General features: G+C 37.2%; 2 annotated features.

Moving 5' to 3' along the window:
- Window positions 22626-23825: an enhancer, noted in NCBI's record as "P300/CBP strongly-dependent group 1 enhancer chr6:50992467-50993666 (GRCh37/hg19 assembly coordinates)". NCBI's record gives its function as "activates an origin of replication core promoter dependent on BRD2, BRD4, P300/CBP, MED14 and CDK7 cofactors, with strong dependence on P300/CBP, by STARR-seq in HCT116 cells {active_cell/tissue: HCT116}" and the evidence as "EXISTENCE:reporter gene assay evidence [ECO:0000049][PMID:35650434]".
- Window positions 22908-23202: an enhancer, noted in NCBI's record as "tiled region #1320; K562 Activating DNase unmatched - State 5:Enh". NCBI's record gives its function as "activates a minimal TATA promoter and a strong SV40 promoter by Sharpr-MPRA in K562 cells {active_cell/tissue: K562}" and the evidence as "EXISTENCE:reporter gene assay evidence [ECO:0000049][PMID:27701403]".

Raw genomic sequence — 24304 nt, forward strand, 5'->3', positions numbered from 1 at the left:
GATGCTATGAATATTTCTCTTAACTAAAAAATCCAAAGCAAGAACTGCTCAGAATTTAGTGTACAGTTGAGGTCACATGTAATACATTCCCAAGTTTTCTTCATGTGCTTTGGAAACTGATGTACATAGTATAAGTTATGCATGTCATCTTTTTTTTTAATGTCCAGCCATAGATTTATCACCAACAATGGGATTAATGGCAGATTTGGTTTTTAGGTCATTTAGATTAGTTATCCTAGGTAAATTTAATATTCACTTTGATATCCATCTTAGGTCCCCTGACATAAAAATTTATGTCTGTGCTAGAGGCCTTTTTCCCCCTCTCTTTTCCCCAATATAGTATTTCCTTAGACCTTCTGTTTTCTCCAGGTTCATTTCTGGAATATATTTTACAAGGCCTAAAAAAAAAGTTCCAGTTTTGATGTGTTTTTATTTCCATTCTTTAAGATACACTTGTCACTGAATAGCAACAGACTGACCACAACACCTTTCCACTGGTAGCTTTGAGGACACAGAGTTTCTTAAGGTTGAATGGGCTTATCCATCCTACCACTACCCATGGCCTTGAAAGCTACAGATGTAAGGGATACTCCTTGACTGTGATGAGTGAAAGGGACTTGGTCTTACATAAAACTAAAGTAAGTGTTTTGTGGCATGCTAGCACTTTGAAATGCTTGATAGAAAAAAGGCTTTACATCAAGTTTCATATATTATATCTCCCTCTTGTTGCTCTATAACACATATTAGCATATTACAAGCTTTAAAAGGCCCTATATTGCCAGATTAATTTTGTTTAACTTATTGTTTCTGATAAATACTTGATAATGGTACTTTTAAAAATGACATTGGGCTGGGTGCTGTGGCTTACATCTGTAATCCTAGCACATTGGGAGGCCAAGGTGGGCAGATCACTTGAGGTCAGGAGTTCGAAACCAGCCTGGCCAATATGGTGAAACCCTGTCTTTACTAAAATGCAAGAAAAGTAACCAGGTGTGGTGGCGGGCACCTGTAATCCCAGCTACTCGGGAGGCTGAGGCAGGAGAATCACTTGTACTCAGGAGGCGGAGGTTGCAGTGAGCTGAGATCATGCCAATGCACTCCAGCCTGGGTGACAGAGTGAGACTCCATCACAAAAAAAAAAAAAAAAGGTATTGTTAATAGTATTAGCACCACTTTAACATGTTGGTTAATAGCATGCTGGTCACTTTTATGGCTGTGAAAATGTTTCATAGGAAATGCTAACATCAAATGTGCATAGCCATGATTCTCTAAATGTACAGCTAGAAACTCCCCACTTTGGTTAATTCCTACGGTGCTTATTAAGTGCTATGTGAGATTTGACACATGAATATGTAAATAATAATGCAATTATAATTTTGTAGGGTGCTGTATTGTTTACAGTTCAGGGCTCATAAGAAGGAAGTGAGAAAGTGGTCACTGTATTGTAGGAAGTGTTCCTGGAGAAAGAGAGGAGGCATGGCATGGTGGAAGGAGCTCTAGACTGAATCAAAAGATGAAGGTCAGGTATAAGCCTCACCACTAGATGTGCTTTCTGATGGTAGTCAATTCAACCATGGTTCAGTTGAGTCATCTGCAAATTGGGCTTATGTGGTAGGTAGAATTCCAAAGATGGTCCCCTCCTAACTTTCCTAGCCCTTACTTATTCAGTCAAACACTAATATAGGTACTTCTGTGAAAGGATTTTGCAGATGGAATTAAAAGTCCCAACTCAGTTGATCTCAAAATATCTGGGCGATCCTAATCTAATTACCAGTCCATTAAAAAAAGAAAGTTTTCTTCAGCTGGTCTCAGAATAAGTCAGAGAAGTTCCTGCTGACCTATAGTAAGAAAACACCTATGTTGTGGTCTTCCTATGGGGGCAAGGAGCCTCTAAAAGCTGAGACCAACCCTGACCAATGGGAGAGAGAAAATAAAGATCTCAGTCCCGCACTTGCAAAGAAGAGAATTTTGCCAACAACCAGTGAGCTTAGAACAGCTCACCTAGAACCCCAGGTGAGAAAGTACAGTTGGCTTGATTTCAGCCTGAGACCTGAGCTGAAGACCCAGTCAATTCCGACCTGAAGTCCTTTCCCAAGGCAATTATGAGATAATAAATGTGTATTGTTCGAGTTGCCAAATCTGTGCCTTTTTTTAAAAAAAAAAAAAGGCAGCAACGGAAAACAAAAACAGGCTATTCACCACATTTTCTTGTCAGATGAAAAGTAACAGGACATAATGTGAGTGAAAGCACTTTATAAAATATAAAGACCAGTGCACATGGTGAAAGTCTAAAGCAAATTCCTTAACTTCCCACCCAAACCTACTTCTCCCGCTCTTCCCTGTTTCAGTAAATGGTACCATCATCCAGCTTCTACAAGCCTAAAACCCAGGAGTCATCATCTTTATCTTTTTTACTCTCACCCTGCATATCTTATTCTGCCAGCAAGCCCTGTCAGCTCCTAGAACACTGCCTGACACTTAGAAGGTTCTTCAAAACGTGTTGATTCAATGAATGATAGCTAATTATCCACTGAATTAAGTCATTTAGAAAATTGCATCCATTTGCCAGGCACGGTGGCTCATGCCTGTAATCCTAGCACTTTGAGAGGCCGAGGTGGGTGGATCACTTGAGGTCAGGAGTTTGAGACCAGCCTGGCCAACATAGTGAAATCCCGTCTCTACTAAAAATACAAAAATTAGCCAGGTGTGGTGGCAGGCACATGTAATTCCAGCTATTCAGGAGGCTGAGGCAGGAGAATTGCTTGAACCCAGGAGGCAGAGGTTGCAGTGAGTCTTCACACCGTTGCACCCCAGCCTGGGCAACAAGAGCAAAATCCTATCTTAGAAAAGAAAAAGAAAAAAAGAAAATTGCATTCATGAGCTCTGCTCTTTGGGCTGTCTGTCAATGTGATAGACTGGAATTTTTTCAGAAGTACTTACTCCCTTGTCCACTGCCTACCTCAGTGGAAGGGTCTGTTTCCCTCGCTCATTCATGTTAGGCTTGGTGATAAGACTGGCTTTGGCCAATGGGAGTAGGTGGAAGTGATAATCTGCCAGTTTGAACCAAGGTATTAGGAAGCATTGGTTTTTCCACTGGCCCCTTTTGGAGCTTCCAAACTCCTTCATTAATAAAACAGCCTCTAGGTATCTGCTGCCCCTCTACCTTGGACCACTGAGTGAGACACATGGAGCAGAGTTGCTCTAGCCATCCTACATTTTAAAGGCTGTGACAGAGCAGTCCAAGACAACTGCAGGCCTGTGAGCAAGAGGTTAAATAATTGTGTAAGCCAGTGATTTTTTGGTTTGGTGTGTTATGCAGCATTTGAAAGGCAATAGTGGACTAGTACACATTTCTAAAGCAGTAACACTCCTACACATCTAGGAAGTTATACACCTTGTTTAATGAGATTATTTAAGAAACTGATTTCCATCAGTTAAATGTACTGAGCACTAACTCATTTTGTGACTTAAGAGATTTAAAATTATAAAACTGGATGGAATATTAGAGATCATTCAGTTTGCGGCTTTCATTTTGCAGATAAGGAAATTGATGTCCAGGTGTGCTCAAGCTTGTATAACTAATTCATTCTCGAGTGAGGACTGAAGTCCAGAGCTCCTGAAGCAATGCCTCCAAGGCCCTAATGGGAGAATGTGATGATAAGGAAACCAAATTGTGTGTGGAAATCAGTTCATTTTATAACTTTCTTTGAAAGATGCAGAGAGCAAGAAGCTCAATAAAAGCCAACAATGGCAGAACATATTTTTAAATATCCTTTGGGAGGAAACTGCCATGTAAACCTATTAACTGCCATCATTCAGAAGCATAATTTTAGCTAACACTGATATGCTGATTAGACAAACCTTAGGTTTTGATCTCAGCTGACCTACAGGACCTAAATTTTGATGTGATTAAAGGAATAGGTGACATTTAATTAGAAAATTTCTTCAAGTTAAACTTGGGTATAGCAGTTAACTCCAAATCACTTTCACTGATACCTGTTTTATAAACACATAGGCATTTTCCTTTGAAAACAATCACATTAGACACTCTTTAGGCATTATTTAACTTAGTTAAGGATCCTTATATACTTCTGGGTTTCCTAATTTAGGAGAAGCCACTGTCCTCAGAAATCCCTTTACACTATAAATTTGGAGACACTTTAAAAATTTTATACCTTTATATCAAGATATATTAGGGTTGTAACCTACAGAGGCATCTGTATCAGCAAGTGCCTCTCTGCCCATACCTCCTTCCCCCAGCTATTTTAGCCTGATGGCCATTTTGCCCAAATGTCATATTTAATTGTCTTAGAATTTCTGTAAGTTTTTTAACTGTAGCAATTCAAATCCAGTTACACAATATGTTGACAATATGTCTAATTTCTTTTCTAAAGAAGGCAAATTGATTATATCCTACAGTTTTTTTGAAAGATGGTGAGTTATGGAAAAATAGTCATCTTAGTTTGTGGTACAAAGTAAGTAACCATTCAAAAAATTAGTATTTAGTGACTAAAAGAAAGACATTGGGAGCTAGGTGAATAACTATATATAAATGCACTTTTCTGGAGTTCTCTCAATATCTAAAATAAAAATTGAAATAAAGGTAAAAACATAACTGTGTGTATGCATTGTTTCTGAATTTTAAAAAATCTTTTAAAATTATCTTATATTTTCTGTTTTTTTTCTTACAAATGACTATTTTTATTGCAGTAATTTTGTTAAATTAGAAAATTCATTGTGGAGAAAAGAAAATGCTTATACACACCTGGTAGGAATGTAAATTTGTTCGGCTACTGTGGAAAGCAATTTGGAGATTTCTCAAATAACTTAAAACATAATTTAAACCATTTGACCCAGCATCCCGTTACTGGACATATAAGGGAATATAAATAATTTCAGCATACAGACCCATGCACAAACATGTTCATCGCGCATTACTTTTCACAATAGCAAGGACAAGGAATCAACCTAGATGCCCATCAACAGTGGATTGGATAAAGAAAATGTGGTACGTATACACCATAGAATACTATGCAGCTATAAAAAAGAATTAAATCATGTCCTTTGCAGCAACATGAATGCAGCTGAAGGCCATTATACAAAGCAAATTAGCACAGGAACAGAAAACCAAACACCAAGTGTTCTCACTTATAAGTGGGAGCTAAACACTGAGTACACTTGGACACAAAGAGGGGAAGAATGGACACTAGGGCCTACATGAGGGTGAAGGATGGGAGGAGGGTGAGAATTAAACTACCTATTGGGTACTATGCTCACTACCTGGGTGACAAAATAGTTTGTACATCAAACCCCAGTGACACACAATTTACTCATGTAACAAGTCTGCACAGGTACTCCCTGAACCTAAGTTAAAAGCTGGAAGGAAAATAAAAAAGAATAAACCTTGAATTTAAAAAAAAATCAGAAAAGCAGAAAACAAACAAAAACACCCAGTAATCTTATGACCAGTAGCAAATATTATTAACATTTTGGTATATATTTTCCCAGATTTTTCTGCATATCTATACAACTAAAATATAAACTGAAATTTTTAGGCAGTAATTTTTTGGAGGAAGACTGTAAAAATAACATCTTCATTAGTTTTTAACTTATAAAATAACACATGGATGTTATAAAAACACAAATAATATATGTTTTAAATTACAAAAAATAGAAGTTTTTCTATCCTCTCCTATGTCCAATCCTACCTCTCACAGGGAAACCACTATTTTGTGTGTCTGTTTTCAGTCTTTTGCTTCGTATGCATATTTTAAAAAATAAAAGTTAACTGTTTTTATTTCTCATACATTATAAATATTACCACATTACTTTAAAGAATCATCAATAAGTGATTTTCATTAGTTGCCAGGTTTTATGTTTCATATATTATTATAACTGATTTTTACTAAATTCCTACCATTGGAGATCTTTATTGAAGCATGTTTTTGTATGTCCATTGCTCCCTTATGATGAATCCTTAGAAGTGGACTTTCTACATTAATGCCTTTATGTGTACGTGTGTGTGTGTGTGTGTGTGTGTGTGTGTGTGTGTGTGTGTTTTGTGTGCATATGTTTGGATAAACTTTGTTTCTGGAAACACAGTAAAATTTCACTCTCAAGTAGAATTGTACCTTCCACTGTTCCTGTTTCTTTTCACTCTATAAGGGACATCATAATTTAAAATAATTTTGCTCAGTACTAGCTTATTTGATTGTATTTTCATATCTTTACTTAGCAAGGTTGAATACTTTTCCTATATTTATTGAACTTATGCATTTCTTTAGAGAATTGCTAGTTCATGAGGTTGGCTTTAAAATTTGATACTATTGGTTTATAAAAAGCATTATTTACAGGTTAAATATATCTTTTTTTGCTAAAGTATATGTTGCAAAAAATTTCTCCTCAATTAATACACCTTTACATTATGTTATGAGTTATTACTTTTTAAAATTATACTTTAAGTTCTGGGATACATGTGCAGAACGTTCAGGTTCGTTATATAGGTATAGGTATAGATGTGCCATGGTGGTTTGTTGCACCTATCAACCCGTCATCTACATTAGATATTTCTCCTAATGCTATCCCTCCCCTATCTCCGACCCCTGACAGGCCTCAGTGTGTGATCTCCCCCTCCCTGTGTCCATGTGTTCTCATTGTCCAACTCCCACTTATTAGTGAGAACATGCAGTGTTTCATTTTCTATTCCTGTGTTAGTTTGCTGAGAATGATAGTTTCCAGCTTCATCCATGTCATCCCTGCAAAGGACATGAACTCATCCTTTTTTATGGCTGCATAATATTCCATGGGGTATATGTGCCACATTTTCTTTATCCAGTCTATCATTGATGGGCATTTGGGTCAGTTCCAAGTCTTTGTTATTGTGAATAGAGATGCAATAAACATACATGTGCATGTGTCTTTATAGTAGAATGATTTATAATCCTTTGGGTATATACCCAGTAATGGGATTGCTGGGTCAAATGGCATTTCTGGTTCTAAATACTTGAGGAATCACCACACTGTCTTCCACAATGGTTGAACTAATTTACACTCCCACCAACAGTGTAAAAGTATTCCTGTTTCTCCACATCTTCTCCAGCATCTGTTGTTTCCTTGCTTTTTAATGATCACCATTCTAACTAGCTTGAGATGGTATCTCATTGTGGTTTTGATTTGCATTTCTCTAAAGACCAGTGATGATGAGCTTTTTTCCATATGTTTGTTGGCCATATAAATGTCTTCTTTTGAGAAGAGTCTGTTCATATCCTTTGCCCACATTTTGATAGGGTTGTTTTTTTTTCTTGTAAATTTGTTTAAGTTCCTTTTAGATTCTGCATATTAGCCCTTTGTCAGATGGATAGATTGCAAAAGTTTTCTCCCATTCTGTAGGTTGCCTGTTCACTCTGATGATAGTTTCTTTTGCTATGCAGAAGCTCTTTAGTTTAATTAGATCCCATTTGTCAATTTTGGATTTTGTTTCCATTGCTTTTGGTGTTTTAGTCATGAAGCCTTTGCCCATAAAAACTCTCAATAAACTAGGTATTGATGGAACATATCTCACAATAATAACAACTATTTATGACAAACCCACAGCCAATGTCATACTGAATGGGCAAAAGCTGGAAGCATTCCCTTTGACAAGCATTCCCTTTGACAAGCATTCCCTTTGACAAGACAAGGATGCCCTCTCTCACCACTCCTATTCAACATAGTATTGGAAGTTCTGGCCAGGGCAATCAGGCAACAGAAAGAAATAAAGGGTATTCAATTAGGAAAAGAGGAAGTCAAATTGTTTCTGTTTGCAGATAACATGATTATATATTTAGAAACCTCCATTGTCTCAGCCCCAAATCTCCTTAAGCTGATAAGCAACTTCAGCAAAGTCTCAGATACAAAATCAATGTGCAAAAATCACAAGTATTCCTATACACCATTAATAGACAGAGAGCCAAATCATGAGTGAACTCCCATTCACAATTGCTACAAAGAGAATAAAATACCTAGGAATACAAATTACAAGGGATGTGAAGGACCTTTTCAAGGAGTAGAAACCACTGCTCAAGGAAATAAGAGAGGACACAAACAAATGGAAAAACATTCCATGCTCATGAGTAAGAAGAATCAATATCATGAAAATGGCCATACTGCCCAAAGTAATTTATAGATTCAATGCTATCCCCATCAAGCTACCACTGACTTTCTTCACAGAATTAAAAAAAAAAACTACTTTAAATTTCATGTGGAACCAAAAAAGAGCCTGCATAGCCAAGACAATCTTAAGCAAAAAGAACAAAGCTGGAGGCATTATGCTGCCTGACTTCAAAGTATACTAGAAGGCTACAGTAACCAAAACAGCATGCTACTGGTACCAAAACAGATACATAGACCGATGGAACAGAACAGAGACCTCAGAAATCACATCACACATCTACAACCATCTGATCTTTGATAAACCTGACAAAAACAAGCAATGGGGAAGGGATTCCCTATTTACTAAATGGTGTTGGGAAAAACTGGCTAGTCATGTGCAGAAAACTAAAACTAGACCCCTTCCTTACACCTTATACAAAAATTACTTCAAGATGGATTAAAGACTTAAATGTAAGACATAAAACCATAAAACTCTAGAAGAAAACCTAGGCAATACCATTCAGGAATCATTAATTTTTATGAGGTCAAATCTGTTAATCTTTTAGTTTATAGTGATTTCACCTTTTGGCATTATGCTTAGAAAGGTATTCTCAATACAGAGATCAAAAAAAATTCTTCTATTTAAAAAAATTAATTTTTTATTTTAGAATAGTTTTACAGAAAAGTTGCAAAGATAGTACAGAGATTTCTCATATACTCTGCACTCAATTTCACTCATTATAAACACCTTACATTAGTACAGTGCATGTGTCACAATGGTACAATGCATTGTCACAGCTAATACACCACTATTGATATATTATTATCAACTGAAGGCCATATTTTATTGAGATTTCCTTTGTTTTTACCTAATGTCCTTTTTCTGTTCTGAGATCTCATCCAGGATACCACCACATTGCATTCAATCATTATGCCTCTGCAGGCTCCTGTGGGTGTGACAGTTTTTCAGACCGTTCTTGTTCTTGATAACCTTTGCATTTTGAGGTGTACTGGCCAAATATTTGTAGAAAGTCTCTCAGGTAGGATTTGTCTAATATTGTTCTCATTATTGGATTGGGATTATGGGTTTTTGGGAGACAGAACATAGAGGTAAAGTTCTACGTCATTATATCATATCAAAAATACACACCATCAATGATAAGCCACATTTATATTAACCTTGATCATCTGAGAAAGATAGTGCTCATCAGGTTTCCACTGTAAAGTTACTCATCCTCTCACCTACTTTCCCATATGCATGGCTCAAATTTAAATCATAGGGAGTTAATGCTTGAAACTCCTTGACAGTGGAGTATCTATACAAGTTGTTTGGAATTCATTACAGGAGATTTGTCTCTTCTCTCCTATTTACTTTTTCAATGATTTATTTATATCTGTATAAACTCATGGAGATTTTTTTTAAGTTATAGTCCAATACAATGTTATAAATTTCATTGCTCAAATTGTTCCAGTTTTGGCCATTGGGAGCTTTCTTTTTTTTTTTTTTTTTTTTTTTTTTTTTTTTTGTGAGAAAGTGTCTCGCTCTGTCACCCAGGCTGGAGTGCAGTGTCATGATCTCGGCTCTGCAGCCTCCGCCTCCTGGGTTCAAGTGATTCTTGTGCCTCAGCCTCCTTAGTAGCTGGGACTACAGGCGCATGCCACCATTCCTGGATAATTGTTGTATTTTTAGTAGAGATGGGGTTTCGTCCTGTTGCTCAGGTGGGAGCTCTTTCAGTTGGCTTTTGTCAAAGGGTTGACATTCCCCAATCATTTGGTTTTGGGGCACCTCCTTACTTCCTGACACTACAAGGAGCTCCAGGCTAATCTTATATATTCCTTTTCCAACTCTACAATCAGTAATTTCTCCAAGGAGCCTTAGTTCCTTTTATTGTAGGGTGTTATTAGAAATGAAAATTTGAGTCCTGGGTTTGCACATTGCTACTGGAGAATCCTTGTTTCTAGATCCTCTCAGCTGACAGAGCAAGAAAGTATATGTATAATCTGTGTATATATGCATATCAATGATTATATATGTTGATTTTAACACCAATGATTATATATATCCATTAACATCTTTATTAAGCTAAACTTGAGGTCCTACTCATGTCTCTCACTCTAATCTACAACCACATGCTTCATTTTAGCCTTAGCCTTTTCTTATCTGTAAATTTTCACTCCTCTAGTAACAATCCTGGCTCCAGCAACTATCATCCTTTTACTTATTTTTCCAATCTCAGCCTACATATGTACTGGTTTCAGAGTTGGTCACCCAAGACCCCATAGAAAACAACTTTCCAGGTAGAGTTCAGTGCTATATACAGTTTTATTTGTTTTTAGTTTTATGGTTCCAGTCATTTCCAGAGTTACTTAGGTCAGTAAGTCTTTTTCCTTGCCCCTACATTGTTGTACTTTACACAAGTTATATCAAACATTTGTAACACAGCTAGATTGTTTTCTCACAGTTCCATCTTATTCTGGCATCCCCTCCCCTCCTGGTTGGTATTTTTAAGGTGCTATATGGATTTTGACAAATGCAGTGTCATGTATCCACCACTGTAGTACCATGTAAAATAATTTTATTTATTTTTATATTTTTTGCTTGTTAAAATTATTGTTGGTGTTTTCTCTTTATTATATCTTACACACCCTTATGTCAAGGGCTGACTCAATAATCACGGCAAGAGAGCCACTCTGCTATGTACAAAACCCTGACCCAGAAGCAGGTTGTCCAAGAATGGTTTAGCACCAGGTTCCCCAGGAATATACATGGAATAATTTTATAGCCATCAAAAATCCCCAGTGCTTCACCTTTTTAACCCTCCTTCATCTCCAAACCCCTGGCAACCACAAGCTTTGCCATCTCTATAGTTTTACCTTTTCCAGAATGTCACATAAGTGGAATAATACAGTATGCAGGCTTCTCGGACTGTCTTCTTTCACTTAGCAACATGCACTTAAGATGGATGCATCAATGTTGTTGTGTAGAGTTACTAATTGTTCTTTTGGATTTATCCTTTATTTTACCTAATTCTTTTATGATTTCAGTTTTTACAATTAACTCTTTAGTCAATTTGGTATTTATTTTGGTGTATGGTTTGGAATAGAGATCTAACTTTCCCTCCAAATAGTTAACAAATTTTGTATATTTATTGGAAGGATTCTTTTCATTGAATTTGAGTTGAAATACCCTAACATAACTAAGTTGATGTGCATGGGATGGTCTGTTTCTCAGCTTTCTAAGGCTCAATTTTTCTGTTATTTAATTCTTATGCCACTCCCAAAGTATTTAAAATATTGTAGTTTTATTATATAATTTAATATTATATTATATATTTAAATATTAAACTAAAATATTAAATTATATAATGACCTCTTTATTCTTCTTCATTAAAATTCTTTATATTTTTCCTCAAGTCTTTCTTTTGAATCAGTTTTAGATTTGTTTTCTTTATTATGAAAACCACATTGCAATTCAGAACAGAACTAAGTTTACAAGCTAAATTAAGGAAGAATTCATATCTTTACAATATTGTGTCTTTCTTTACCTAATCATGATATACCTCTTCATGAATTTGAATGAAGTTTTTTAATTGTTCAGTTTTCTTCATTTGAAACTTGCATATATTTTATTAAGTTTATTTATTTCTAGATACTTGCATATTTTTCGGCATTGTGAATTTTTGATGTATGCTGTACATTTTCAATTACATTTTCTAAAAAGTTAATTTCTTATATGTGGGGGAGCAATTAATAGTTACATTCTAACACATAGTATGACCTTTTATTAGATTTTAAGTTGTCTTTCATAGACAATTATATCATATTCAAATAATGATGCATTGATAGCTCCTTTCTTAATTGTATATTCCTTTCTTTTACTTATTCTGTTGGTTGGAACTTTCAGATGAGTGGAACTAGTAGATTATTTTGTCTTTCTTCCTACTTTTAATAAAAATGCCTGTAATGTTTAATTGAAAGAACATATTTTAAAGGCAACACAGATTTTTCTTATTCAAAGAGATTCTAAGAGCATACTTGATTTGATTTTGCAAATGGAATAATTATCAATTAATTTATCTCTTATAAAACAAATCATCCCTGTACTTATTGTTTACTTTAGGAAAAACATACCAGTATCTGCTTTTTTTAAAACCAGTTCTATCAATATATAACTAGAATATCTTCTTATTGCTAACAACAGGAGCACTGGGATTAAATCTATTTGAGGTACAGCATTGAAACTGAACACAGCACTTTAATTTCCCAGTTACTTACTTTTCTAGCTGTACTCCACCATCCATGTTGCAGTACATTTTGACAGAAGTCTGTTTGTCTACCTATGCTGACAAAACGTACCATTTTGGCTATGAATATATTGGAATTTAAGCTTTTGTTAATTTACATAAACTTAATTTCTTAAACTTAACACTTTATGATTAAGTTTAAGATATAATGGCACACAAGTCTGTGTCCATTCTGATTGGTTAAATATTTCTTCTTATTGATTGTTGACTATACTATACCAGTAATAAATATATTTATATGACCATAAACATTTTGGCTATTGTAAGATAATTAATCCTTTATTTAAAAAAATATTTTCATTCTCTAGTGCCATGCAACATCGCATTCCTAGTTAATGGAACATGAAATCAATTTCAGAATTTTGATATACTAGAGGGATATATCTCTCTCTTTCTCTGTCTGTCTCTATCTCTGTGTGTGTGTGTGTGTGTGATATATATATATGCTATATATATAGATATATGATATATATAGATATATATGATATATATGATATATATAGATATAGATATAGATATATATGCTAAAACTTGTTCTTAGTCAATATATCAATCAATATCTACTGAGTTTCCAGTATCATTCAGGTCATTAAGTGCTATCGAATAGATAAGAGTTGTATAAACCCTTTGGTGGGCAGACGTTTCTGGTCCAGAATTCTGGATAGGGAAGGGACAGGCCTCTAGTATTTTGTACAATTTAAATATAAGAACATTATCTTCCTTTTCCTTTTCCCCCCAAACTCAGCATTTCCTTTTATCAGGAAGATGTTTCTGTTTTCCAATGTGGAGTCCTGGCAGTTAAGGTTACCTTGCCTTTGCAGTTTACATTGGTGATGGCTCAGAAGACCGCCCAGGTTCAACGAGTGACAAATCATTACTGACTGTACAATGTAATTAAACAACACAAGCATTGATTAGCGATGAGCTAAACCTGAGACCAAAAAGTGGGAGACCCAGAGTAGCTGGCACCATTTCTCATTGGATCTGTCTGAAATGGAAGATGTTTGCCCCTGCAGGCATGGCGCGAGGCCCATTGTGCATTTCCATTAGAGACCCACACTGGATCTGAGCATGCCATTGATGTTGGCCTATTTATGAAAGGCTGTTGAAAGAGGTTTCAGAGCTAATTGAAAAGAGATGTTTCTGAACTACAATCACTTCAAACAACATAGCTCCAAAATCTGTTTCAATAGTTGGAAAACTGGTGCGTTTCCATAATTTACACATGAAATTAAACAAATGATTTGGAATGAAAGCTTCATGGCATTTAGTAAGACTTAGTTCTTTAAAAAAATTATTAATTGAACAGTTGGCTGAGTTTATTATAACAGTCCTTCCCCACATCTATCTGTGCTTCCATTATTTAGTCTATTCCTGTTTTCAGGGATGTCAATTGCAGTTGCCTAAATCTACCTTGTCTGGAGACAAGGAATTTAGCCTGAACAAGATGCTGTCAACTACTGTTCAGTTGCACATTTTTATCTTCTAGGAAAAAGAAATCTCTCACAATCTACTTTGCAAAAAAAAAAAAGTAATAATAACAACATCTTACAGAAGCTTCCACAAGATTTTCTCAAGGTAGAACTTAATAGAAAAACTCTAGGGCGAGCTGCACCTCGACCACACTGAAAATTGAGTGTATTTATGTGAACAGAATGCAAACATAATTATTAAAAAATGTTCTCCCCCAGGCAGTTTTCAATCAAGATCTGAAAGCATTAGCAAACATTGATTTCTTCCATAACACTTGTACTTATTATTGGACCTGATTTTTGTCTATTCTTAAAGCAGACATTGAGGTCTGATAACTGAAGCCGGTGTGGCCAAGTTTACAAGTTACCCATTGCCTCCAGGGGTAGGAAAGTAGGGATTGATGTATAGCTATTCCTCAAAGCAAAGGGGGAGTCAGGTTCATTGCTATTATCTCAATTATCATAATTACTCTGTCCTTAATGTTTTAACAACTTTTTTTTTTTTTTTTGAGTTAGGAAGACTGGTGTCAAGCAATTTACCTGGTTAGGCATGTAGTTGGTGCTAAACCAGAAATGAGATACAGTTTATCACCAGTCTCTTATTCTGGTGTGGTTTAAAGCAAACAATCAGGTTTTAAAAGTTTAACCACCAAGGGGAATACCAAGTCCCAGTTTCTATGACTGATTGAGAAGGGTGTTTAAGGCTTAATTGTCATAACATCAATTAGATTTTACCACAACGGAGATAATTTGATTCTTTGATTGAAGTAAATGAATTAAGATGGTAGCTGCAGTTACTTTGGGTATATCTCTGACTGAATTGTTTTAGCTTAGGAGAAACTTAGTGCCACTTTCTGTCTGACAACAGAAAATGTCCTCAAGTTATTTCTTATTCTGGTTCGAGCACTTAGTGGCTGTTTTATAATTACATAACCTTATCTGCTTCTTGAGGGCTACAGTGACTCTGAGAGATCCCAGGACATTCATAAGAGCTGGGACAGACGATAGGAATGTGGGAAAAGGACTGAGGCAGTCTTGAAAATGATTTGCCTTAGACGCTAAGGCGAGGGTTCAAAATTGCTTGGGATGGTGTAGGAAACATAAAAGATTGCATGATTCTGCCTCCTCCATGTAGACCTGGTAAAACTAACTTTTAAGCCTTCCTTTCAATAGATGATCATGAGCTACAGTGGTAGAGTTTTAGAGCCTCTGGCCTTAACTATTAATCCCTACCTCTATGGAAGCCTTTAACACATGTACTCTGTGTGTGTGTGTGGGGGGGGGGGGGTTAAATTAAGACTCTTAGGTAACCCTAAGCTGCGTTTCATGTTTGATCCCAAGTGGATTTAATGGGGATATGCTAGAAGTCCAGAGCTTTAAGGGGGAGAAGCGATGAATATACCTAACAGTGGTGGACAGTGAAAGACTGGGAACCAATGTGATCTGATTTGAAAGGCATCAGGTAGATCACAGGAAACATGGGAGTTTATATACAGTGATTGTTTAGAAATCGAAAAAACAGCAATATATTTTAATAGGTCCTAATTTTGGTATCTTCTTCTTAACTAAGCATTCATGGGAGAAGAAATGAAAAGGAGGAGAGAGCTGGTCAATTTAACATTGATCCAGTGCTTATGATGTGTAAAGTACTGCACTAACCTTAGCCTGCATTATCTCATTTAGTCCTCATACCTTCCTGTGAAGGAGACACTGTTATTATTCCCATTTTACAGACTAGGAGACTGTTCTCAAACCATAGAAAGGATCAGGTTTATATCCAATGTGAAAGTCACACACTGGATTGCAAACCTAGCTATATTTTATGCCTAATAGTTTTCTTTTTTTTCTTTTTTTTTTTTTTGAGACGGAGTCTCGCTCTGTCGCCCAGGCTGGAGTGCAGTGGCGCAATCTCCGCTCACTGCAAGCTCTGCCTCCTGGGTTCACACCATTCTCCTGCCTCAGCCTCCCGAGTAGCTGGGACTACAGGCACCCGCCACCACGCCCGGCTAATTTTTTTGTATTTTTAGTAGAGACGGGGTTTCACCGTGTTAGCCAGGATGGTCTCGATCTCCTGACTTTGTGATCCGCCCACCTCGGCCTCCGAAAGTGCTGGGATTACAGGCGTGAGCCACCGCGCCCGGCCAATAGCTTTCCTGTATGTTAAAGTAAAGTAAAGAAAAAAAAAAAAGAGAGAGAGAGAGCGCACAAGAGAGGAAAATAGAAAGTGAGTTTATAGGGTACAGACCCAAAACCAATATTTATATATAATCTGACTCTCTGGAAGTTACATGTTTTCCAAATGATTTCTCCATTATTTTCCATGGCTGCCTATGAGAGCTAAGCTTGTAAAGAGATGGAGTGGGTAAGCCATCTGACAAACCCAGAGCCAATTTACCAACATGGCTGAAATTATATTAGTAGGAAGGATCATATGCATGTGTGCATGCACATGGCTGAGCAATTGTGAAGCAGAGATTAAGGCAGAAGTTTCCTTTTAAATCATAAATACAATCTGAGAATAGTATGCACTTAAGCAATCTCTGGACATCAGTATGAATCATTTTTATGGGTAACAGAGGACTTTTCAAAAGCAAATGGTAAGTCTATTCATGGAGTTTAGTTTTGTATCTGTAATTCTTCAAAATGTTGTATTATTTCTAAGTGAGTAATACACTTATGTGGTCTAAGCAGAAAAAGTGTTATAATCAATTATGCATGGAAAAGGTTTGTTCACAGAACAGTTCTTGTCCCCACTGCTTCCTCTAGATAATTACTTGCTTAAATTCTCCTATATACTTCTAATATATAAAAGCAAACATGAATATCTATTCTTATGAGTCCGCTTTTTACACAAAGGTAGCATACAAGAGATATTTCTTTAATACCTTGCTTTTTTCTCCTAACAATATATCCTGGATGTTTGGAGATCTTTTCATATCAACACAGAAAGTGGTCTTTCCTTTTATACAGCTGCATAGTATTCAATTACATTGTGTGATATACTATAGTTTAATCCATCACTTCCCTATTTATGGGCACCGGGGTTGTTTCCAATTCTGCAAACAAATAACCCTGTACAAATGTCATTTTGTATGTGAGCAAGAGTTGCCATAAGATACATGACTAAAAATTAAGTTGCTGTAAGAAACAGTATTTATATTTGTAATTGATAGATATTGCCAAATTGTACTGCACAGCACTTGTATCAATATAATAAATTCTATGGATAAACTTTGATTTTCTGTTTATAAATGTTGACTAATTCTTATGAGAGGAGATGGCATGTTGGCAAGCACAAGGGATTTCAAATCAGGGAATTGTGCTGGGTTACTGTAGCACTCTGGGCCTCATTAACCCAATCCATAATGAGAAAGAGTAGAGTGTAATCGTTTATAGGGTTTCTTCCTCCAAAAGCTTTTTAAAATAATAAGCTTTTTTGGGAGGCCAACGCAGGCAGATCACGAGGTCAGGAGTTTGAGACCAGCCTGACCAACGTGGTGAAACCTCGTCTCTACGAAAAATACAAAAATTAGCAGGGCGTGGTGGCAAGCGCCAGTAATCCCAGCTACTCAGGAATCTGAGGCAGGAGAATCATTTGAACTTAGAGGGTAGAGGTTGCAGTGAGCTGAGATTGTGCCACTGCACTCCAGCCTGGGTGACAGAGCGAGACTCCATGTCAAAAAAACAAAACAAAGCAAAACAAAAATAATAAGCTTTTATATTTCCTATAGTTATCAATACTGTGTACTTCATGTTTAACATTACCCCAATTCTGTGATCTTTTCCAATATTCAAAAGTAAAGCAAAACCTTTCAATAGCTGTTTCACCCAGAACAAGTTGTCTAAGAATGATAACTACTGTTAGTTACTTTGCTGAAATGAAATGAAACTTAGGTGCTACCTAGAGTAGACTTTGGCTGCTCGTTGGTTTGAACAGCTCTCAAGCATCACATTTCACTGCAGCTGCAGTGTGTGCTAGAGGCTTATGGCATGGTTAGCAGCTGGACTAAGCTTCGTCAGATAAATAGCTACATGACTGTGATGCGATCCATGTCAGGTGCTCCCAGCCCAGTGTTTCGACAGGCAGGCACTGTCAGCCAGCCATGAAGAGCCCGTCTGTTGCACATGCATTGTGGTGGGGTCTCCAGTAAGGATGCTAAAAGACATCTAGTTGGCAAATGCAGGAGGAGGCTTCATAATATTAGGAGTAGGCTGGATCTTGCTGCGTGTTCTGGTTTGAAGTCTGCGTGGGTATGCATTATGGTTTTGGAGAGAAGGCAGCAAAAAGTCCAGTATTTTTTGGTACTCTAAATTTTATATTTTGCCATCTTATTGCAAAACTTCAACCACCTAACATTTTCAGTAGGTTGATATCTGAATAAAAATATATTTGTTGTGGGCTATCCCATTATGTGTGTAAATATCCCAGTCTTTTTTTTTCCTGCCTCTGTAAGTTTTAGCAATAGAGAATAAAAATCTTTTGTGGCAAATAGAAAAAGGGAAGGGATGCAGAGAGAATGCTGTTTGTTGAATGTCTACTTTCTGCCAAACTGAACTGGCTGCTTTACATGTAAGCAAAATTGGAAGCTAGGTTTTGTTTCCCCCTGGAATTAGCAAACTCTTTTTGCTGCCAAAGTTCATAGTAGGCTTTCAGAATCAGGAAATGAGGACCAAAATTGAACACTACACTAGGTGTATAGATTATTATATGACAGGAAGAGAATATTATTGAGAAGCTGATCGTGTTTTAGATGTTGTGTAGAAAACTGTGAATGCAACAAAATTAATTGTCTCTGTGCAGATAAATCCTGCCAGAACACTGAAGTTATCAAATCTCCATCTCTTCAAAGCCCCATACCTATGTTGCTCCTTATCAGGGGACACACACACACACACACACACACACATATACACACACACAGAGATAATAGTTCCCCAGGAGTAAATATCTTGTCTTATTTTTCCTTTTTTATCTCACAGATAAAAATTGCAATTTGAAAAGATAATTCTTCCCAACTGTCAGACCCCACTAGAATTTCTGCAGCTTGATGTTCTTTAAGGTAAACATGCCATATGCATTTACTGCAACCAACTCATCGTATTTACATTTTGATTGTCGAACACTGTACAAATTGCACATAATTGCCTTCTGTATGGCTACAATCTTGCTATTTGAAACTTTTGAAAATCTTCCTCATCTGGAATTTAGTAACAGATTAATCTTCCCATCAAATAAGGGGACAGGAAATTATCTTCTGCAGTTGTATCCTGTGAGGACACTACTAATTAGAAGCCATTTCCTGCTCTCTGACCACTTACTAGCAGCACTCCCTGGAGGTCCAAGAGATGTCACGTGATTTCATTCGAGCTGAAGTCCTTGGTGGTCAGTAGAACTTGTCTATGTGCGGTGTTTGGAGATGGTAGGAATCCAAATTATTTCCAGATTTGTGCTGTCTGTAGAGCAGGGTTTCTCAGCCTTGGCAATATTGATATTTTGGACCAGAAAATTCTTTGCTGTGGGACTGTCCCATGCAGTGTAGGATGTCTAGCAGCCTCCTTGGCCTCTACCCACTAGATGCCAGTAATGTTTTGACAACCATAAATGTCTCCAGACATTGCTGAAGATCCCCTCGGGGACAAAAATCACTCCTGTTTGAGAACTACTGATGTAGAGAAATTGAAATTATATTAAGTATCCAAATGTGGGTGAGCTCACTGGCAATGTTAAAATGCAATCATTTGGATGAATTTCTTCCCTGTCTCTACACAAATGTCAGAAGGAAACTGGTTCACACATTAGCTTCTTTCCCCAAATTTCTCTCTGGTTTGGTGGAATCAGAACAGAGGTTTGACTTCTCTGATCCATTGTTTTTAACAGCAGTAGTTCTAGCTTTTATTTAGCAGTCTCCAGAGTCCAGGTCTAGTTTCTTTCCAAAAAATGAGGTTGGTGACCTCAGGACAGTAAGTGTAATTTCCTGGAATGACAGTGAAATTCATTTTGATATTGATAAGAATTAGAAGTAACCTATTCTTTAGCTTCTGTCTTGGCTGTCTTGGTCTGTTTGGTTGCTATGACAAAATATCATAGATTGAAAGCTTATAAACAACAGAAATTCGTTTCTCATAGTTCTAAAGTCTGGGAAGTCCAAGATCAAGATACCAGCAGATTTGGTATCCACTTTCTGCTTCATAGGACCCACTTTCTGCTTCATAGTATAGGGCCTTTTCACTGTGTCCTCACATAGTGGAAGAGACAAGTAAGCTCTCTGAAGCCCTTTATAAGGGCATTAATCCCATTCATGAGGGCACTAACCTTATTACCTAATCACCTCCTCAAAGGCACCACCTTCTAATACCATCACCTTGGGGGTTAGCATTTCAACATATGAATTTTAGGGGTACACAAATATTCCAACTATAGTGGCTTCCATCATCATGCCTGAATGGGTTCAAAGAAAAATATAATCATTTATATCTATCTCTTAAACATATGTTTGCTATTTTGAATGATAGATTATTTTATAGTTGGGGGACAAAGGACACTTGGTCCTAATAATCTATTTGTAAGCTTCTTTAATCACACAGCCCACCATATATATACCTGACAGTAATTTTAACCCTAATGGTGCTTATTTATTTATATAGCTACCTCTCACTTATAGATATCAATTTCTTAACAGTAGGAACAATGTCTGTTTTATGTTTGTCTTCATTATCTAGTACAGCAGTTGGAACATATGGGGCCAAAATCACTAAACTATATATTCCATGAGAAAGGAACTATATCTAGTTCACCATTGTTTCCACAGGACTTAGCATTTGCCTGGCAGATAATGGGCACTCAATGCATGTTTATGGAATAAATAAATGATTGGGAGCTACATTGGAAAACCGGAATTAAATTCTGGGTGCACAGCTTAAATGGATTTTGACTTCATAGTTCAAATGAATCCAAGTTAACTCAATTTTACTTGTTTCAGCTAGAGTTTGGGGGAAAAGTACTCTGCCTCCTTTTTTTGATTTGCTTTATTTATAGGCAACCCAAAAGAAAGATGTGGGAAGTCCAACTAAATGCTCACAAAAGCACTTGACATCTAATGAATAAGTGCAAATTGGTGTGACCACAGCTTTCTTCTCATGAACCCAGGTTCCTATATCTACTCCAGCTGAAAGAAATGAACACTTTCTTTCATTAGAGTCTCTTTTCCCCTACAGTTTGCTTTAAAAGGCAGGTTAGCATAGTGGGTTAAGAGAGCAGATTCTATAGTCAGACTGATCAAGTTCATATTACACTATTTATTGGATGTGTGACCTTTCAAAAATTGCTTAACCTTGCTGTACTTTAATTTTCTTATCTAATAGATACACAAGTTTAAAAATGGTACCCACCTCATAAAGATATTAATGGGATTACATGGATGAATGAGTAAGTTGCTTAAAACTCTTAAAGGGTATGCCATGTCAGATAGGACTTTATTTTTTAGATGGGGATCTCTATATATCTATATTTCTCTGTCTATATTCATTTCAGTTAAAAAATTAGATTAATTCTTTTTTTTTTTTTTTTTTGAGTCGGAGTCTTGTTCTGTCATCCAGGCTGGAGTTCAGTGGCGCAATCTCAGCTCACTGCAACCTCACCTCCTGGGTTCAATCGATTCTCCTGCCTCAGCATCCCTAGTAGCTGGGATTACAGGCATGCACCACCATGCTAATTTTTAGGCGGCTAACATTTTTTGTATTTTTAGTAGAGACGGGGTTTCACCATGTTGGCCAGGCTGCTCTTAAACTCCTGACCTCAAGTGATTCACCCGCCTCGGCCTCCCAAAGCGCTGGGATTACAGGCTTGAGCCGCTGCACCCAGCCTAGATTAATTCTCATACTTCCCCAACTTTAAACATATTTGAATAAATGATAAAAAAGCAAAACTCCACTCCATTGAAATTCTTAGGAAAAGAATATCCAAATTGTCAGCTTTTGAAGGCAGGAAAGCCTCATGTCATTGCAGAGACATAGCTGGCCTTGTGGCTTTAGCAAAAATGAGATGCTAATGAAGGATGCAAAGGGAACAGCTGTAGGGGAAACAAAGGTATAATGCAGCAGAAATTGAAGACTAGAGGCCTTCCATTTTGTAAATATTTGGATTGGTAGAAATTTGTTAATTGAAGCAATTGATTTTCACCTGAAAGTGGTAGCAATATCTAATTCATTAAATCCTGAAATAACATCCTTTGGGCCAAATGGGGTCATTCCATTCTTAACCTCTTAGTGATATATTAACAGTCGGAAAGCATTTGGACGCATATCTTAAAAAGTGCCTTATTAACAGGAATACATGGTGGAAAAAAAAATGCACAAACCCACATTTGCACTGAGACGGGAGAAATGCCTCCATGGCCTCCAGCCCCTGTCCTCCCCTTCAGTAGTATTTTAAAGTCTGTGTTTAATATTGCCAAGCCTACTTGAGTGATAAATGTAACTGTATAAAAATTACTTATTACAAGCTGTCATGTTGCCTCACTCACATCGGCTGGGCTGGAGGCACTGTACATAAAACTTGAATCTCTACCTTGACAGAGTCAGCCGCGCTGGCTTTAAAGTAAAATGCTTTCAGTCATGAATACAAAACATAATTTACCTTTTCATAATACTTCAGTTTGAAACAAGTTGGAAAGCTCGTGTTACTGTCAGACCTGTACCTGAGCTGAGTAGGGAACCAGTGAATTCCAAGCTGTCACCTGAAACCTACTGCTGCTTCCCTGCAGTCCTTTGAAGCAAACTTAAGCTGTTAAATTATGGGGCCTCTAATTTTTAAAGTCGTATTTGTGTGTAATTCCTTTTTGCAACTTTGCAGTGACAACATGTTGTCAAGGTGGATTAGCTCATTTTCTAAATTGGTATTTGTATTGGAATTCCTGATTGAATGAATTTTTCTCCTCTCGAAGCTCTTAGGCCCCTTCTAGCAACTATTCATTCAAGAGGTCAGGAAGCTTTCACTGATAGATGTATATTTTCAAAAAATGAAACCCTTAGCCATTTGCAAACACAGTCAAGTCTACCGTGAGTTCTCTCAAACCAGCAAAAGCTTTCAAACCAGTGGCCCAGTCAGCGAGTGAGTCACCACCAGTCAGGGACTTGTGGGTTAGTTTCGAACCTGTTTAATCGAGCCTCTGACTACAACCTGCGGATGTCAGCCGGATGGAAATTGAATGTGAAGGTTCCAAGGAGCCTCTCCGCAGCACAGCTGATTCATTGTGACTGTTTTTATGGCTGGTCATGACGCATACAGTATGTGAGGATCCATCTGCGGGGGTGTCTGCCCACCAGCCTCTATGCCACGTCGGCAGACCTGGCCCCCACCAGAATGCAATGGGGATGGAGCTGCAGATGCCTCCTGTTAGCCCAATTCCTTTTGACAATGTTCACATTCAGTTAGGGCCCAAAATGCTTGTACTTGTCAGTTGGGATAAATGATGAAGAAAATAGTTCCCCTGCGGAAAGTGAAACAGAATGGCCAAAGGAGAGACTTTCCTGTACTGATCCTCCACGCTGTACTGCTAAAAACTCATCCTTATAAAACAGCTCCTGCGTTTCCCACTTCTCCTTCACTTTGCCAGATATGACTGTTGGAGAAAAGACGGCTGACCTGCAGGGGCGTTCAATATCGTGGGCTGTTCTCTTTTTGAAATTTTAGGGCAAGTGAAATTGATTCTGAAAGAAAACTAGCGGGGCAGGGAAAGTATTTCTGCTTCCACAAAGACAACTCCCTCAGAAATGTTGGATTTTGATTTCATAGTTTGCCTATTTGTGTCTACATAACACCTTTCCCTAAGGAATTTAAAGCATTATACAAACACTACTTTTCATGTTTATAAAGGCCCCACTGGTAAATGTAATATTCTTTTTACTAGCAGTTTGAAGATTTTCCAAAATGTAGCCCCAAGCTCTCGTGTCCAGCTCTTTTCCTAGGACCATGATTCCCCCTTCCCCCAGAGGTACTTGTCTTAGGCAGACGTACTCCATTCTTGACTTCATAGCTTTCCAGTGCCATCATTACACCCCAGCTTGCCAATTATTCACCTCCTCTTTCTTCTTCATTGCTGCCTTCTCTGATTGATGGAAACACATTTTCCTTTATCATACCAGGTTATGTAAGACACATAGTGTAAATCCTAAGTTAAAAAGGTAAAGTCTCTTCTCTCTGGGGTTTGCCTCGTGTTCCACATTCTCCCTCAGCTATAGGACCCTTGCAATGGACACCTGAAACAAAATGTCCTGCCATGTCATGCCACATCGTATCTCATCATGTCTCCATTTCAACACATATTTATTGATTGATAGAAATTTTGCCAGTGGACTTTTTCTCCTGCTGTATTATTTATTCTCTGTACATTAATATAG

The sequence above is a fragment of the Homo sapiens genome, chromosome 6 (genome assembly GCF_000001405.40).
Source record: "Homo sapiens chromosome 6, GRCh38.p14 Primary Assembly".
NCBI classification, from domain to species: Eukaryota; Metazoa; Chordata; class Mammalia; order Primates; family Hominidae; genus Homo; species Homo sapiens.